The sequence below is a fragment of the Homo sapiens genome, chromosome 10 (assembly GCF_000001405.40).
Source record: "Homo sapiens chromosome 10, GRCh38.p14 Primary Assembly".
NCBI classification, from domain to species: domain Eukaryota; kingdom Metazoa; phylum Chordata; class Mammalia; order Primates; family Hominidae; genus Homo; species Homo sapiens.
Window position 1 is genome coordinate 26,745,716 of NC_000010.11, and position 19,359 is coordinate 26,765,074.

The window sequence follows — 19,359 nt, forward strand, 5'->3', positions numbered from 1 at the left end:
ACGCGCCTGTAGTCCCAGCTACTTGGGAGGCTGAGGCAGGACAATCGCTTGAGCCCGGGAGGTGAAGGTTGCAGTGAGCCAAGATCATGTCATGCACTCTAGCTTGGGTGACAGAGTGAGACCCTGTCTCAAAAAAAAAGAAAAAAGAAAAAAAAAACTATTGGATAAAGTGAGTGCCTTTGGAAGAAAGGAAGCTGATTTTCATCATAAACCCTCTGTACTTTCATTTTGTTATGTCTTTATTCTTTATTTTTTAAGTAAGTTTTACTTGTGTTTTTTTTACATTTAAAAATGTTGTATAAAGATACTTTGTACATAGAACTTCTGAGAAATTCTAATAAGTAAAAATTAGGGGAAAACGAATGACTATGTAATATTGATGAGCTAGTTGCTTTGCATGCTAATAGAATAAAAATTTGCTTCAATATGAGAAAAAGGCCTAAAGGAAGTTAGCACTATGAGTCGGGAAAAGAACATTAGAGATGTAGTTTGACTGTTAACTGTAATCCTCAGCTCATCTGATCTCAAAACTATGTGTTCATTTATTATAGCAGGAAGTTAAAACGCTGATTCAGTCAGTGACAGGCATCTGTTCTGTTTTGTTCTGTATCTTATAGAGTGATGGTGTGCAACAAACAACCTACCTCGCCCAGCAGTACTGCCATGAAGCAATAAGAGAGATCAGTAAACTTCGACCATCCCCAGAAAGAGATGCCCTCATTCAGCTTTCAGAAATTGTACTCACAAGAGATAAATGACAACTCTTTCTGTTCTTTCTGGCAGCTATCTTACCAGACTGTGCCTAAAGAATTTTGTGGAATACACTTTGTTTGCTTCATGTGCAGATAACCAAAAATCATTTTAAAAGATATCAAACTTATTGATGGGCAATTTATTTTTTTTTATTGCAAAAGTTTTTTCAGAAAACTTTTTAAATGTAATTAATAAACCACCTGAATCTGTCATTCTAGTCCTATAAATTATAATCAAGGTATCTTGATGGTTATATGTGGTATTGTTTACACTGTTAATATCCACATGTAAGGCCATTACACAAATAAATAACCAATGTTAAAATTCAAATGGTTTGTCTTGATTTACCGTAGGAGTAAAGGTCAGAAAAATGTGAAGTCTGCATTGAAGTCCACATGAGTTATATTTTAACAGTATCCAAAATTTCATATAGGAGAATGGTTTATTATAAAAGACTGTACATAAAATTTAGACAACAGGTTATATACAAATTAAGAGAACAATCCACTTGAAAAATGGAAAGTAGAAGGTAGCTAGCTGATCACTAATGATACTTTGTTTGTTTAAAATTAACAAAGGCAAAATGCATATGAAATAGTCACATTGATTTGGTAGCAATAATGGTCTTTAATTTTCAGAAATAACTGTTTTGCACTAGTCTTACCATTCACTATGCTGTTATAAGTCTGTAGCATCCAGTACATAACTGTAATTTGAATTCCAAACAAATCCTCAATAACACAGAAACCCACACTTGAGTGCTCTACTTTAATATCCTAAGCAATAGAGAATTATACACAAGACAAGAAGAGAAAACATCCCTCAGCCCTCCCTTCAATTAAGAGGAGACACACAAAGTGCATGTGTTGCATTTTGATTATGTCAAAAGACAATCCAAGTCTGTTGGTTAGGTAAATCTCTGTTCACTGATTAATACATGACCCACCTTCTTTCCCAATTATTTTATTTTAAAATTCTAATGTTGCTAGTGCCAGGTAATGGATTAAAGAGTGCCTACTCACAAATCAACTGTATCCACTTTTACAATATGTAAAAGGTACTTTTAACTTCCTTTCATTGAACCAGTGTACAACAGTTCACTGTACAACTGAAGGACTGACATGGCAATCCTTAAGAATTTTACCTACAGAATGAATGCACACAATTTGACACATTTTCTTAGTTTCAAAAGATTATTTAAAAAAGGAATTCAGTAGATTGACTTGTAAATAACCATTGCAGATTTTGAATCTGCAAAAATCCGTCACATTGCTGTTGGGACAGATTAAGATAAGGCTAAAATTTTTTTCCAAGTTAACATATTGAGAAAATAGAATCATAATTCTGCAATAAATCATTATCTTTTATTTTTTTTAAAGCAAATCAGTGAAGGAAAGGACAAAAACCTTTGGTTCACTTATGTATTTATGAATGGAAAAAGTTTATAATGCAAATTTCACTCATTAAAAAACTTAGGTACAAATTACAACATTACAGATAATTCTCTTTTTGCTTGTTTCACATGGAGACCTTGGAGACTCAATTCACGTTAAGACACCTAAGTACGAGTCCTCCAGGTAAATATTACACAAATGGGAAGCATCTTGAATTTTTAAGTATATTTCAATACATAAATTTTTATGCATGCTTTAAACAAACAGTATTTTTTTTAAATGAGAGAATCTAACAAAAAAAGTCTGACCAGCACCAGCATTTAAATTTTCTGATTTTAATATTAGTCTGACATAGCGTTAGTAACCATGCTGCACTGAAACATGTAATGGTACAATCTGAATCATGATTCGTTAAATATTATACCCCACTTCCCCCAGAATATTTAGGCTGGTCATAAAGTTAAAAATGTGTAAGTAAGTACATAAGCATAATCAGTTATGGACAGCTTCTTGTATAAATTGCTATTCAGCAATACATAAACTGCCTCAAAGATTTATGCTTACAGGTAGACATTCAATTTACCAATAAAACAGCATGTTCTGAAAATATGGGCACATTTTAAAACATATTAAGACAGTTCTGTTAACCATAATAGTCCCACAGTATGACTGAGTAATAAGAATCTACTTCAAAAGAAAAAAAAAAATTAATCAGTATAGTGCATGATTGATTCAACATAGTTCCCAGGGAACAGACCAGTCACTCGATTGCAGACTCCTTCATACCAGCCATCATCATTCTTCTTTATAACATAAATGATTGCACCCTCCATAAATGACAGCTCATCATCCTTGTCTTTTGTATAATCATATATTGCAACAACTATGGAAAAAACAGTTGAAATATCACATGAGTGCACTATATCCAAAATTTACTTGAATTTTAAGACAAAGACAATTAAATATATAGCACAGCAAAACTATTTTTATGAAGATTTCTTAATTTTTGTATCTATCAATATAAGTAGGTCAGTGGCCAACCATGTACTTAAATCATTGGCTTAATCTTAGAGCCAAATGACAATCTGATTAGACTGAATACATCAATAGGTTCTGTCAATCACTTTAAGAAAGCTCTCTGAATTTTAGAATTTATTAGATGTTTCAATTCATTCAAATACCAAGTGCCTATCATATGCAAAGCACCGGCTTTTCAAAATAATTATCAGGCAAAGAAAGCTGCATAGCCATTCAGTAAACCAGGTAACAATCCAAGCTATCTAATTTGAAAAAACACAGTTACTGGAAGGTAAATCACATCCTACTCATTCAAGGACCCATGCTAATTTAAGGGACTGTCCCCAGATTTTTTTTTAAAGAATATTTACTTACTTTAAAGGATTTTAATTAATACTTAGAGAACTTTGCAATTCTGTGGTGTCTGTAATTTTTTCAGTTCAAGATACAGGTTGAGTAACCCTTATCTGAAATGCCTGGGATCAGAACTGCTTTGGATTTGGGATTTTCAGATTTTGGAATTTTACATATGCGTAATGAGACATCTTGGAGATGGGACCCAAGTCTAAACACAAAACTCATTTTTGTTTCACATACACCTTATACACATAGTCTGAAGGTAATTTTATTTTTCCCTTGGGAACACTGAATAAACTGTGTCATGTGCCTGCATTTTGATTGTGACCCATCACGTGAGGTCAGGTGTGGAATTTTCCACTTGCGGCATCATGTTGGAACTCATTTTGGATTTTGGAGCATTTTGAATTTGGGACTTTCAGATAGGGATGCTTAGCCTATATTCACTTCCTTTGCAAACTGCTATGGAAAGAGAAAGTAATCCAAAATGTATAAAATGGCCCATGGACAAATCCAAACCACGCAATTTTTGTAAATAAAGGTTTATTGCAATATGGCCACATCTACTTACTCATGTATTGTCTATGTCTGCTTTTACGCTACAATAGCAGGACTGAGTAGTTGTGACAGAGACTGTATAGCCAGCAAAGTTTAAAATATTTACTATCTGGCTTTATACCAAACAAAGTGTGCTCACCCCTAGTTCTTGGGAATATACTTTTTAATCCTCCTCTACTATCAAATATATTACCCAATATATCATTCCAAATTTGTCAACTTATATAAATATGGTCCCATTTTCACAGTTAATTGGCTTCACCAAGTAAGAAAATATGGGTAAAAACACAATTCAAGGTCACTCAAGTTTATCATCCTCGTAAGTAACAACAGCTCTCTATTTGAAGGTATATGGGAATCTCAAGTAGAATATTCAAGACTTTCTTAACAATATGTAAATTACTTACTGTTTAAAAATATAAGGCCACGCTCGGCTCATGCCGGTAATCCCAGCACAGGGAGGCTGAGATGGGCGGATCACTTGAGGTCAGGAGTTCAAGACCAGCCTGGCCAACATGGCAAAACCCCATCTCTACTAAAAATACAAAAGTTAGCTGGGCGTGGTGGCGGGCACCTGTAATCCCAGCTACTTAAGAGGCTGAGGCAGGAGAATTGCTGGAACCTGGGAGGCGGAAGTTGCAGTGAGCCGAGATTGCACCACTGCACTCCAGCCTGGGAGACAGAGCAAGACTCCATCTCAAAAAATAAAAAAATATAAAAGGAAAACAAATTTACTTTTGCCACATATCCAAAACTTGGGCAGGAAAGAATGCTGCTGGTCTCAAGAGCTACATCTACTAGCTTAAAGTCCGTTAACCCAGTAAAGTCAATAGAAGGAAATATATTTCAAAGGCAACCAAAAGTGTTCAACTAAATCACAAGCATTTTTCAGAACTCTATAGAAATACAGATTTTATTTTTAATTGATTCCCACTTCTGCAAAAAGAAATACAGATTTTAAAATAGCACAGAACTGGATGAAAAAATAAAAACTAGAAACAGGATTTGTTTCTTCCCCACCTATATTTCTTAATAGATAATTATAGTGAATATCGGGTACTATAGGTAAATTAGACTTTAGAGTAGTTCATAATTTCATGAAATACAATCCTGATAATTTCTCTTGTGTTTTATAAAATCACCTAATTGAAACCTTAATTGAGGCTTTTCTCATGATAGTACTAATATATTTTTAAAGACCGATGCTCCTCCACTTACATACAATGGGGTTATGTCCCAATAAACCCACTGTTTAGTGGAAAATATTGTAAATTGAAAGTACATTTTCAACTTGTATTTTTTTTACTTATAACAGGTTTATCCAGACAAAGCTCCATCATAAGTTGAGAAGCATACTGAATGCATATCATTTTTGTACCATCATAAAGTTGAAAAGATCCTAAAGTGAACCATCATAAATCAGGGACCGTCCATATTTAGATATGAAAGGTAATCAATAGAGCTTGACAGAACTTTTAAAATCTTTACTAATTACATATAACTCCATTTTTGTGCCTTAGCTGTTTCATCTATAAAATGCCGTCCAGCAAGTTAATCTTCAGCTGAACGCATATGTAGTTTGAAAGCAAATCTAACACTGCAACTTTTATTTAAAATACAAAGAAAGAATCCCCCTGTACACTGGGAATAATACAAAACTTAGGAAGTAAGGTTTAAGTAAATCATCTTGGTTGGTAAGGCAGTTTAAAAGGCTGAGAAACATTGGATTAGATGTTCTTTATAGTTCTAAATTTCTACAATTAGGTTATTTTCCTTCACATCAACTCAATGACTGTACCTTACCTTTCTCAATATAATTCTTGGGGGCCCAAGCAGGATCCCCATCTGCATATGGATCATTATACTGAACTACTGCAGCCTCCTCATCTTCATAATCCACTGGTGGTGGTGGTGGGGGAGGTGGAGAGTCATCAAACATGGGAATGTCATCTGGTGGAGGTGGTGGCGGTGGAGTTGGACTATCAGCAACTAAAAAGATTCATATGATTGATTTGAATCAAAAATAAGTCTAGATGGAAACTTATAAGTTAACAGAATTTAAGAAAGCTCTAACTTAAGTACAGCATGCACTATAATAAAACATGCAATGATTAGAAATAAAAGCTTGGTGTGTTAAAGTTTATGCTACTCAAGAATCATTTAAAAATAACAAAATGAGCTAAAAATAAGGGTATCTGGAAGTACTACAAATTAATGAATGCAGGGTGTTAGGAGACAATGTCTCTTTTTATAAGGATTATAGGAGTAGTTTCCTTATTCCAAGGTTCAGATCGGGACAAATGTTAACAATCTAAAATAAATCTATGTCACTTTTGTCATTTGGACTGCAGTAATGATATGAGTAACATTACGTTAATGGTTTGATCACTCTTCACTCTGCTCATTCATGCCCCTGATTTTGGCTTGAAACAGCTTTGGTTCCCTAAAAATTCAGTCTCCTGTGGACAGATTTTTGTTTCTTTGTTGATTATTGTTTGTTTTGATGAAGAGAAAAGTAAAGTTGGTAGTATTAGGTCTGCTTCTGTGTGCAGATTTTCTACTCTGTTATTTACATTTTACAAGTTGAAAAAATGGAAAAAGAATCCCCAACCAGTAGAAAATCTAATTGAGTATTTTTAAAAAGGTTTATATTCATAATTAGTTTTTTAATGTAGAAAGCAAGCTAAAATTTTGCATTATTGCTAGTAAAACATAAGCACGGGATGAGGGAAAGCCTAGATCCTAAAGATTCGATTTTCTAAGAATACATCAACAATTAAGATTTAAACATAAAGTGTTGAAGATGTAATTAAAAAAAACAAACAAAAAGGAACTTACAGTAAACAAAACAATAAAAATGACTCATACCTCAAACTCTAGATGGTCGTGGTCAGTATATATGTGTGTGCTTTACACAGTCAAAGGTGTAAACAGGGAAATGGGAAAATGTCAGGCTAGAGCTCTGTTCAATGAACTAGTATAATATCAGGTAAAAATGCTCCTAAAATTTAAAGAATTCAAAGCTGGAACCCAATTAATGCTTAACTTAAATTTCTGATCAATAAATTTCTTTAAAAGTTCAAAAGACATATGAAAATGTTTTCATACAAATTGATACAGGAATTACATAATTCCTGCAGGGGAGAAGTTCATAATACAAACATACTAAATCAAATGCCAATTTCTGGGGCTATTTACGTGATCAAAGAAATCAGCCATAATCTATCTGTCATATAGGTTTAAACGTTTAGTCTACCCTCCTTGGAATAATGTGCTGAATATACAACCAAGGGCTCCAGGTTTAAAATATTTGCAGATAATGACCCTATTTCCATAACCACTTCAATGCTGTGATTTCTATTTTATCCTCTCGAGGGATGAAAGGGCTATTAGAAAACAAACCCTATATGGTAATGCTCACTATAACACCTATCAAACGGGTCTACAATTAATTTTTCTGCCTCATTCCTAGATCCATTTTATCTTTGCCCATAACTTCCTCTATAAAACTTTTTAATATTATTGAGGAGAGGAAAATGGGTACAGACCCCTCCTGACATCAAACAGCCATAGTTCATATCCTTAATTTGGCTTAATGTGTAAATTATGTATGTTGGTACCTTGCATTTACTCTTGATTTATCACATTAGTTTAATGTTTTCACGAAATTGTCTTTATGTCCAACTGCTGTAAATCTACATGTCTTATCTTCAAATTATGGCGAAGGAAGTCTTGGTTAATCTAATTCTCTGCATAATCATAAAGAGATGTAAACACACTGCTGACTTTTTTAGAGGCTCATATCTTAAACTGAAATACTTATTAATAGGCTGCTACATGCATTCATTATCACCCACTTTGAGTGTCATAAGAAACTGGGTATTTAAGAGAACACATAAAATTTGTACTTCATAAAACGTTTAAAGTACTGATACATATTTTAACACCAATCCTCCTAACACACTTTCAAAGAAAACAGAAACCAAATAAAGTTAGGGAATCTGTGGCACAAGGAGAATCACTGACTGACCCAAGTTCATATGTTTGGTAAAAAGAACTAATATAGTACCAAGAGCCTCTTTAGCAAAGACCACACATGCCTAGAATAATGTACACTAATACTGGATTTCTATATAAAGAAAAGATTTACCAAATAGCTAGTCAGTCACTTTGGACCCACAAAACTGATGTTCATTATGGCTATTTTAAATTATTTCCTAATAATTCTTACTGATATGGCAGTTCAAAAGTTTACACTGGCCTTGTTTTTAAACTCTGCAGCATTAATGACCAGCAGTTTACCCTTACTCATTTATTTTTAAAAATAAGATTCACATCTATCTATCCATCCATCCATGCATTTATTTATTTTTGCACTCTATTTATTTTTGCACGTCTAGGCTGGAGTGCAGTAGTGTGATCATGGCTCACTGCAGCCTTGACGTCCTGGACTCAAATGATGCCCCAGCCTCAGCCTACCTGGTAGCTGGAACTACAGGCACATGCCACTACACCTGGCTAATTTTTTATTTTTTTGTACAGACAGTCTTGCCATGTTGCCCAGGCTGATTATTCATATCTTTTTAAATGTTTGCACACATTAGGGTTTTCAAACACATATTAACAGTAAGGATGGCTTACACTCAGAAATTTCAACATTACAAAACAACATTTTATAACAAGCCAATTGGATCACACATTTCCTGAAGGAAGGGGCTTTTGTCTTAAACTGCTGGTATTCTTCCCGGAGTCTGGCACGTAACATCGGGTACACAAATATTTGACTGGCAGGAGGGAGGGAATGGGGAGAATAACACAACAGGGTCAGCAAAAGCTGAAGAATGGAATTTGCCACAATATATTTTCTTGGAGGATAGGCTGGGCAAGTGGGTTATTCATTTGTTCAAACCATCCTGAGATTTATTTTCATGGTGATGGTCCAAATGAAGTAAATTAAAAATAGACCACATTACCATCAACAGCTTTTCTAGCATATTATAATTCAGTAATAGTGGTATTTTTCACTTTATATAAGATTCACTGTGATCATGCAGTTAGGATTACACATCTTCTGGAATTTCAAAAGTAATCAGGCAGTAATATAAACTAGTCTATCCTGATTAAAGCCATATATCCAAAATAACTTCTCCCCCCCCACAAAAAAAAATCCCTGAACTTCATTCGAGAGAAGATCTAAAAAAGTTAACTGATTTTCATATTCAGGAACAATCTTCGTGGGCCTGGATGTAGCCAAAATGTGAAAAGGATGCTAAATTGCTTATCACTCACACTGAAATGGATAGCATGAATGTAATTTACTTATTCCTGGTCATTCAATCTTATCCTAACAATGAACCTTTACGTAGGTTCAATATCATGTATGTACAAAAATCTGAGGCTACAAAGCTTTCCCTAAAATTTTGAAATTAAGGGGGGAAAATCTGCCCCAATTTCATATTAAATTTAATCTTACAGTATATCTACCTATCTCTTGATAAATTTATTAGAATTAAAAATGTCTTCTAATTCTAGTAACTGTTAGAAGCTAAAAGTTTCCATATAATTTGAATTTTTGTGTTTGATTATTCTTTCCTTAAGAATATGTAAAGATCAGATCTCCTGTTTTAGGATCATGTAAAGACATAAGAAAATTGCAGCTTTGAAATTTATATGGGTCAGTAACCATGCACACAAAGAGAAAAAACTGAAGACCGTGCTCTTCAGTTTCAGTAACATGTCTGCACCTATTTTCAAGATTAGCTTCTCAATAAAAGTAAGGAAAACGATGACTCATCGTCAGCCATGCATGCTATAAGGAGACAGCCTCTACTCTTCCATAGCTCAGTTTTTCCAAACTTACTGTTTTCCTGCACCCTGGCCACGAAGCCTGTGAGAGGTATCTGTGGAGTCAACTGAGGCATAGGGGGAGGGGGTGGAGCAATAGAAACTGGTAGCAACAACACAGTATGGGGGAAGTAAAACAGATAAAGGAAAGAAAAGGAAACAAACAAAAAGCAGAAGTCAGTTACAAGGACCACAAACATAAGTATGCAAAGAACAGTTTGCAAATGAAACAAAACAAAACAAAAAACAAAACAAAAACCTGCAGAACCTTGGAGTACATTTCCCACAAGCAAACCTAAAGGCCAAGTTGTGCTTAGCCAATTAATTAATTTTATAAAAGAACAAATATACTTAATTCAATCCTAATGTTACATTGTTTGGGGAGGATTTAAATTTACCATCACATTCACTTTAGTAAAATAAAATTTTCAAATTCTAAGGAAAGACTTCTAAAATAGGTAACAATGAAATACCTACATAGGTTTCCAGAATATTGTGTCTTTGCCATAGCTATAACAGGTTTGTCTAGCTTTAAGGTAATGTTGTAAATTAGGACCCAAATAAATAAAACAAATATATAATAGCTATTTATTTCATATATCAATAAAAATATTAATCACAGGTTTCCTTTAAAGACAGTTCTTATTATATATCTAAATTCACACACAGCTCTCCAGGAAAAACTCTTGTTTGTAAAACAAGGTTGTTATTTTTTTAAGTTGGCAATTTTATGTTTAAAAATATCAGTCCTAAATTTACAAGGGAATATATCATGTTAATCAGTCAGAGTTTCATGGGATATCTCAAAAGTGACCTTTTCATCACTGTTCTGAAAAAGGAAACCTGATCTCCAATAAGTTAAAATACGTAGTTCTTTGCATTAAAGTAATTTTTAACAACTCATTGGATAGCTTGAAACACATTCATATGCATTTGTGGAGATGACATAATTGACAGGAAATTAATACCAAATACTCATGTATTAAAAATTATAACATACACTAGAAGTAAACATTCATATGTTTGTGACTTTGTCTCACTTTAACAAGACAGTAATTGCCAAAGATTGCTTAGAAAAAGTCAGTAGGACTAGATAGCAAAATTTAGTCTATCGGTAGTCACCAAGTAGTAACACTAAATTGATAGAGAAAAACAATTTATTGGTTACCAAGGATTAATCAAAAGGTTGTTTCAATTAATCCAACATGCAAATTCTGTTGGTAAGCATAAAAATTTGAAAGAAGTTCAGTGTTCAAAGAAGTAACAAAGCAATTATGTGCATTAATATTCATTGTATAGCTAAAGATAACATTCAATTCACTATGAAAGCAATCCTATTTCATTCTAATACTCTATAGAAGGCTCCTAAATAAAAGGTTAGAGGTTTTGACTTAAAAAACAAAAAACTCTCACAAACCTAAAAAAGTGTTTAGAAACAACTCTTAGTAACTAGCCATGCTGGTTAGTATGTAATGAAAAAGAAAAGCTATGCTGTGAAGATACTAATCATTACTACATTTAGACAGAAGGGAAAATGTGCACATCAAAACACTAAAAACATTCACGTACTACTACTACTACTACTACAACACCAACAGTAACTCAGATTGAAGGATAATTAATTTGACAAAACATAATAATTTATTTAAAATCTGAGGCCAAATTTGCTTTCCAATATTCAAAAGAATGTGGTCATTAATTAAAGTATACGGTTTGAAAATAATCCACACAAGCATTGCTAAAATAAAACTATAAAACTATGTATTATATAAAAAAGTCACAAAAATCCTATTTGCAGAGTAAATTAAATGTCTAAGTGGGGAAAAGAAAAATAATACACAAAAAGATGGGATCTAAAAATTCAGAATATGAAAAAAATAAAGTTGATGAAACAAGTGAAGTGAATTATTAGATAATCTGGAATATTTAGACAGACACTGGCTACCTTTTGATACCAAATGTTAGGTAAAATCCTATTTAGTGAAGTTTAACACTTCTCAGTAGCTTTAATATTTTAGTCTGGAAAAAAAGCTATATAAATTTTGGGATTATTTGTGAATTTTGATATTTCTGATAAAGTGGTTTTCAATTCTTAGGAATTTTTGCTATAACATAATTTATGTTTAAAATTTAAACAAAAAACTAATGAGAACTTTCAGTGGCTCACGCCTGTAATCCCACCACTTTGGGAGGCTGAGGTGGGTGGATCACCTGAGATCAGGAGTTCGAGACCAGCCTGGCCAACATGGTGAAATGCTGTCCCTTCTAAAAATACAAAAATTGGCTAGGTGTAGTGGCAGGCGCCTGTAATCCCAGCTACTCAGGTGGCTGAGGCAGGAGAATCGCTTGATCCTGGGAGGGTGAGGTTGCAGTGGACCGAGATCGCGCCACTGCACTCCAGCCTGGGCGACAAGAGTGAAACTCTGTCTCAAAAAAAAAAAAAAAAAAAAAAAAAACTTTCCCCTAGCTCTGCTTTAAAATACATATACAGGTCATTCATTATAAATAAAAAGAACTTAAAGCAACCTCCTATGTAAATATGGAGAATTCACTGAGTATTAAGTGTTTTTATATAAACAAAAATAACATGTGGCTCTAGAAAGAGCCACAAAAGCCATGTAGGAAAGCTTGTCTCATTCTATGCCCAGTGGGCACAACTTTTTAAGCTAAAAGCAAACAGTGGACAACAGGTTCATTTCTAATTTTGTTTTTTTTCCTTTTTGCATTGAACATCTTAATATGGAAAGTGATATTAATGACTACCCTACACTATTCTAACTTCCTAACATTATATGCTAAAACTATTTTCTTTTCTTACCAGCTTTTAAACACTGACTGCAATTAGTGTTGAGATGTGCAATTTGAGGTAAACAGAAAGAAATCAAAAGAAATTCCCACCATTAGAATTATTCAAAGACAGAGTAATTAAGCAGGCATCACAAACAGTTTTAATCGGTTTTGAACTCATTTCTGAACACGTTAATGACCTTAAAAGTGATAGCCAGCAATTTCATTATATTAATTTGAAGGAAAACTTTGACAATGTTTGTGTCTTTAATTTTACCATTACTACGCTGTCTCAAACATGCCAATAAATTCAGTTTATTTCTGCAATGTTTTTGTTCTCTAGTTCTACTTATGTAATAAAATCGCATATTAAAGTTAAATTTTGGTATACTCAATATAGACACGTCTCGATAAATTTAGTTAAGTATACTTGGTAAGTCTAAATTTTGGAAGAGAAAGTGGTAAACAATTACTCTTAAAATGGTATGATTCAAGGACTAATATCCTAAAACAAAAATAAACATGAAACATCATGGTTTTCAATTGTTGTCTATCACTGGCAAGAATAACAGTTTCAAATAATTTCCTTCAAAAGGAGCTCCACTGTTGCTGTATGCCTGCAAAGCACAAGCTTACTTGAATTTTGAGAATAAAGTGGACCTCCATTAACATGAGGCTGAGCAGAAAATTGAGCAGTCACAGAGGGAGTTCGTCTGTATCCACCAGAAGATGTCGAAGAAGTAGTAGAGTTGTGTCGAGATATCTGCCTGGTCATTGTGCCATACTGGGAACCAGGAGCTGAGCCCGGGGCTGCTGAAAAGCATTAGTCAAAGGCAACCAACAAAGAGACTTGAGCATTGTAATCACCTTAGATGGCAGAACAAAGCAGGAGGGGGCCTCAGTAAGAAATATTTATTACTTTTTCAAGACCAAGGCACAAAATAAAGAGAAAAGTAAAGATAAAAATCAGTAACTTTATCTCCAAAGTCAAAAACAGAGAGAAAAAAAAACAGCTGCATGGAAAGCTGCAAAAGTAAATAAGTAATATTCTCAAGCTTTTAAAAACCATAATCCCAAATGGTACTTTGCTAATATGATATATAAATTTTTTGTGCATTTTCAAATACATAGCTTTTATATGTAAATTGTCTTTCCAATAAAATAAGTACCAAAAGATGGTGTGAGGTAGGAAGCATCAGTCTTTAGATATAAGTAGATTCATGTCTGAGTTACAAATTTCTTCCTTTCCACTGACAAAACTTTCAGAATTTTGATTTGGCTAGATAGAGTCTTATAATGATAAGTCTCTATCTAGCCAAATCCAAGTTAAACAATAAATTTTTATTTACTAATATTTTTGAGTTTTTATTGAATTAGCAGTTATTAGTATCAATACATATTAAGTAAAATCATTTTTAAGAAATGTGCCATTTCTCGTTTCAAAGCACTTTCATGTAATGTCAGATTTGTTGTAGATCTCCAAAGTTTTAAGATTAACATACATTTTCCCTATTAAATTTTTATAACTGACAGAAGCAGAAAATTTTTTGACTCTATAAAATATGGCATTTTAAGGTAGTTTTGTTTAGCAAATCTATTCTCTTTCTCCATGCCTGGAGGGCTTCTTTTTCATAGTACATCCAAAGAATCTGCTTTTAAAAAAAAAAAAAAAATTAGCATGCTCATATATTTTCATCAGTTAATATCGAAACTGATGAAAATATTAATACTTAACATTGTATTAAGTGTCATCTTTCCCAACATTTCAAAAGTTTCATATTTAAAATGTTAATAGAGTTCAAAGCCTCTAAAGTTAACTATACTTTCCAAAGTTAACTTTGGGATTATTATTATTTTCCTTGCCCCATCTAAACAACAAACAATGACAGAGTAAGTAAAAAGCCAGCGTCCTAGTTTATCTTCATTCAGTTGTCTAATCCTTCTTAGAGGTCACACAAGGTATCAGATAAAACCATACAGCAGAGGTTGTTCATTAAGAGAAGTGCTGATCTAACATTTTGGAACTCCCAAGTCATAGGCAGTCACCAATTATTTGAATCATCCACATGCTCATTTTCTAAATAGAAACAGTTTAAAAATAATTGTCTATTCAAAAGCCTTCGTGAATAAGTAATTTTGGACAGCTAGGTTTTTCCAGAGAGCCAAGAAATAAGCCTTTAAGGGCCAGGTGCAGTGGCTCATGCCTGTAATCCCAGCACTTTGGGAGGCCGAGGCAGGCGGATCACCTGAGGTCAGGAGTTTGAGACCAGCCTGGCCATCATGGCGAAAACCCGTGTCTACTAAAAATACAACAATTAGCTGGGCATGGAGGCATATGCCTGTAATCCCAGCTACTCGGGAGGTTGAGACAGGAGAATCACTTGAACCCGGGAGATGGAGGTTGCGTGAGCCAAGACAGCACCACTGCATTCCAGCCTGAGTGACGGAGAAAGACTCCATCTCAAAAAAAAAAAAAAAAAAAAAAAAAAAAGAGTAAGCCTTTAACTGTTTTTTTTTTAATTTATTTTTTTATTTTGGGTAAAGAGTCTGACTGTCGCCCAGGCTGGAGTGCAGTGGTGGGATCACAGCTCACTGAAGCCTCAACCTCCTGGACTCAAGCAATCCTCCTACCAGAGCCTCCTGAGTAGCTGGGGATATAGGAGAGTGCCACCAAACCCATCTAATTTTTTATGTTTTGTAGAGACAGAGTCTCACTATGTTGCCCAGGGTGGTCTTGTCCTGGGCTCAAGCAATCCTCCCACCTTGGCCTCCCAAAATGCTGGATTACAGGTGTGAGTCACCACTCCCAGCCAACCATTTTTAATAGAAATCTCTGTAAAAGGATTTTACATTTCTCCGGCTTGTATAAAAAAGTGTACAGAAATCGAGTTATTTTTATTGGTGATTCAAGAACAAAAGCCAATCATTTAGCAATTCTGAGCCTATTTTAGAATTTAACATTTTATCATAAAATAAATAATGCCAAAGAGTGTGTGACTTATATGCATAATTATATGTTATACATGTGAATTATACACATACATGTGTGTATAAAAAAATTTAAATAATATACAGCTCAAGAAATCGAATATTAACAAGATCACTGAGGCTTCCTGTGTGCTCCTCTCCTGGATTCCAACCCCCACAAGGTGTATGTTAAACATTCTCTTTCTTCTGTAAATAGTTTTTGTCATATATATATATATATATATATATATATATATATATATATATATACACACACACATACACATATATAACCTTAAACAATACACACAGTTTTTACAAATTTATAAACTTTTGTAATGGAATCAATCTGTACATATTGTTGAATTGCTCTTTTTCCTTGATAATATTTTCAAAAATTCATCCATGTGGCTATGCATATCAATGTCATTCATTTTTGCTATTTTATTTGTATGTAAATATATCATAATTTATTTATCCATTCTACTACTATTAGACATTTTGGTTTGAGATTTGTGCTATCAATACTACTGCTACGAACATTCCTAAATATAATTCCTGAATCTCTAGGACAGTGGTTCTCAAACTTCATCATTGATCAGTATTTCTTCTTGAAGCCTTGTGTTTTGTTTAAGATGGGGTCTCACTCTGTCACCCAGGCTAGAGCGCAGTGGCACAATCTCAGCTCTCTGCAACCTCCACCTCCCAGGCTCAAGCCATCCTCCCACCTCAGCCTCCCAAGTAGCTGGGGCTACAGGCATGCATCACCATGCCCGGCTAAATTTTTTGTATTTTTTGCAGAGATGAGGTCTTGCTATGTTGCCCAGGCTGGTCTTGAACTCCTGGATCAAGCAATCCGCCTGCCTCAGCCTCCCAAAGTGCTAGGATTAGAGGCGTGAGCCACTGTGCCCAGCCTTACAGCTTGTTATAATATAGACTGCTGTATTATAACAGCAGAAACTCCCATCCTCAAGAGTTTCCCGATTGAAGCAGGTCTAGAAGGGACCTGAGAATCTGTATTTCTAACTAATTCTCAGATACTGATTGTCTGGGGATGACACTCTGAAAACCACTGTTCTAGGACAGCAGTTTTCACACTTTTTGGTCTTAGGGTCCACTCTTAGACAACCCCAAAAGCCTTTTGTTGACATGGGTTATAGCTGTAGATAATTACCATATTAGATACTGAAACTGATATATCTTTAAAACATATGAATACACAAGTACACATTTCATTAGGAGTCAAAGCAATGACTTTATCATACTTCATGCAGCTTCTAGAAAATTCTACCGTATAGTTATAACAGAATGAGAATGAAAAGGACAAATAATGAATAGAGCTCTGACCTCAAAAACTTCATGAAAGGATCTTGGTAATCCTCAGGGGTCCCTTAACCATATTTTGAGAACTAGTGCTCTAGGGTAAATATGTAGAAATGAAATTGATAAATCTAGGGTAGGTACATGTTCAACTTGACTAGGTATCAATAAATTACTTTCTGAAGTGAGTGTATACATTAATAAACTCCCACCAGCAATTTGCTTTCCTCACCAACACACATCCTCACCAACACTGGTACTAGCTAACTTCTACCTTTTTACCTGTCTGCTGGATATAAAATAGTATCTCACTGTGGTTTTAATTTTAATTCTTCTGGTTATTAATTGGGTTGAGGCTATTTTTTTCTCACAGATTTTCTACCAACAATTTCTATTCTTAGGGTCTTCATTTTACTACCTCCTTTCTCCCTTTTCCTTGGTATGTGCAAATGTTTGGAAAAGATGTTGTTAGACAGCTTTATTTCACTTAACCTGAAACTCAGCTCTCATTATTTGAAACACCTCATTATCCATTTCTACCCAGATTACTGTGATTGTGTATTTCTAGACTCAATGGTTTTTACATTGACATTTAAAATATATTTAAAATTCCTTATATGCTCAGTTCAGTCATCCCCAACTTGTGAACAATTTAAATGCATTTTATCGAGAAAACTATTTCATGGCATCCTGAGATGTCATAAAAACTGGGCCATATCAGAGTTTTTCAAACTATGATCCACAGGAAAGCCTCAGAGTACCCCATCCCACACATATCGTTTGCCTTTCAATTTTTCTCCTCCTGTCCCCACCTTCACCCTGATCCTTTGACTGTTGTATATACCAGAGAGTTCCAAATTAAGTTTCACTTGTGCGGGGCAGGGGGGATTAGACTAGAAAAATCTAAACAAACAACAAATTAAAAACACATTAAGTTGGTTATAAACCAAGCATTTCATATTATAGAAAAAGTTGTTTTATATTTGTTTACTGTATAAGTGCAGAAGCCTTTCACCAGAAGTTAGTGATATTAGATTTAATACTTTAAACTTTGTATTATCACCTGCAACCTAATAACTATAAAAGCCAGCACTCTACTAGCACAGAGGAGTTTATTATGAATTATGTAAAGTGAGTTCAATGGCTCCAATGGCTATGCAATCTCACCTATCACAGTGCTCACTGGGAGAAGTGGTGCCAGAGGTGGTGCTGGTGGAGCTCCAGAAGGAGGAGGGACAGAAATGTTTTCTAATAAAATAGTTTATAATTCAGGTCAGAGTACAAGAAAAGAAAACTCAACATTTTGAAACAGCAAGAAAGTACAATGTATCGGGAAGAAAAAGAAAAAAGATACCCCCATGTAAAGCATGCTCAAATGAGTATGAATTTTGTACATAAAGAGGCTACCGAGTTTATACCTGCCTTAACTATCAAATATGCCTATGTTTATAAGTGGCTTTTTCTCCTTTTTCAAAAATATGCTTGAAAAGCTAAGAATTTCTTTCCTAACATTTTTCATTATCATACTTTAAAAATATACATTTTTAACAATATAAAAAGTCTCCATTTCATTTACTAAAAATCAAGGGGCTAATTCAATGCTCTCCAAGGATTTCTTAAATTTTCATGCTTTCTAAAAGTAACTTTCCTATCTTAATTTTATTTTACATTTATTGCATTTTACTGAAATATATATTGAATATCATAGATAAATGTAGTAAAGTCACAAAATAAGCAAACACCAGAGTAGATACTGGCCTGTAAAGCAACATTAAAACTCTTAGAAACATAATTCACCTTTATAGACACTGATTCTCCAGCTGGAGTATCGTACAATACTGGTTTGCTCTTGAAATAATAAATGTCATTCTTGACTAGTATGCGAGGCAAATACAGTCAGCCCTCCATATCCATGGGTTCCTCATCCCTGGATTCAATCAACCATAGATCAAAAATATTTCAGGGAAAAAAATAGATGGCTACATCTGTCCTGAACATGTGCAGACTTATTTTTCTTGTCACTATTCCCTAAACAATACAGTATAACTATTTAAGTAGCACTTAATATTTTATTAGGTATTACAAGTAATCTAGAGATGATTTAAAGAATATGAGAGGATGTGTGTAGGTTATATGCAAATACTACACCAGTTTATAGAAAGGACTTGAGCATCCATGCATTTTGGTATCCGCAGGGGACCTTGGAACCAATCCCCCATGGACACTGAGGAATGAATATATTTCTAAAGCAAAATGGCCAACAAAAAGTTATTTAACAAAACTACTTAATATGCAGTATATATAAGGAGAAACAGCTGGTGAAATCCTAAAGACTTTGTGAAAAGCAATCTAAAAATATTGT

At 34.1% G+C, this 19,359-nt stretch overlaps 2 protein-coding genes across 35 annotated transcripts in view, besides 2 other annotated features; one reads left to right on the plus strand and one right to left on the minus strand.

Annotated features, from left to right (window-relative positions):
* The window catches only part of PDSS1 (decaprenyl diphosphate synthase subunit 1), a 49,098-nt gene extending 48,015 nt beyond the window's left edge, over positions 1-1,083 (plus strand). For all 5 annotated transcript variants that reach the window (NM_001321979.2, NM_001321978.2, NM_014317.5 and 2 more), the window contains one exon: positions 618-1,083. In NM_001321979.2, the coding sequence (NP_001308908.1) occupies positions 618-758 (141 nt within the window). In that variant the 3' untranslated portion in view covers positions 759-1,083. The remainder of the gene's footprint in view (positions 1-617) is intronic.
* The window catches only part of ABI1 (abl interactor 1), a 114,363-nt gene continuing 95,884 nt past the window's right edge, over positions 881-19,359 (minus strand). For 3 of the 30 annotated variants that reach the window (XM_047424405.1, NM_001348032.2, NM_001178116.2), the window contains 4 exons: positions 18,165-18,245; positions 13,347-13,523; positions 5,883-6,068; positions 881-3,030 (listed from right to left, as the gene is read on the minus strand). In XM_047424405.1, coding sequence (XP_047280361.1) covers positions 2,855-3,030; positions 5,883-6,068; positions 13,347-13,523; positions 18,165-18,245 — 620 coding nt within the window. In that variant the 3' untranslated portion in view covers positions 881-2,854. Of the gene's footprint in view, positions 3,031-5,882; positions 6,069-9,939; positions 10,027-13,346; positions 13,524-15,571; positions 17,095-18,164; positions 18,925-19,359 lie in introns of those variants that run through there. The other 27 variants (NM_001178125.2, NM_001178124.2, NM_001178123.2 and 24 more) reach the window with 17 other exon arrangements.
* Positions 9,823-9,942: an enhancer, noted in NCBI's record as "active region_3171". NCBI's record gives its function as "activates an Ori minimal core promoter by ATAC-STARR-seq in GM12878 lymphoblastoid cells {active_cell/tissue: GM12878}" and the evidence as "EXISTENCE:reporter gene assay evidence [ECO:0000049][PMID:35858748]".
* Positions 10,033-10,092: an enhancer, noted in NCBI's record as "active region_3172". NCBI's record gives its function as "activates an Ori minimal core promoter by ATAC-STARR-seq in GM12878 lymphoblastoid cells {active_cell/tissue: GM12878}" and the evidence as "EXISTENCE:reporter gene assay evidence [ECO:0000049][PMID:35858748]".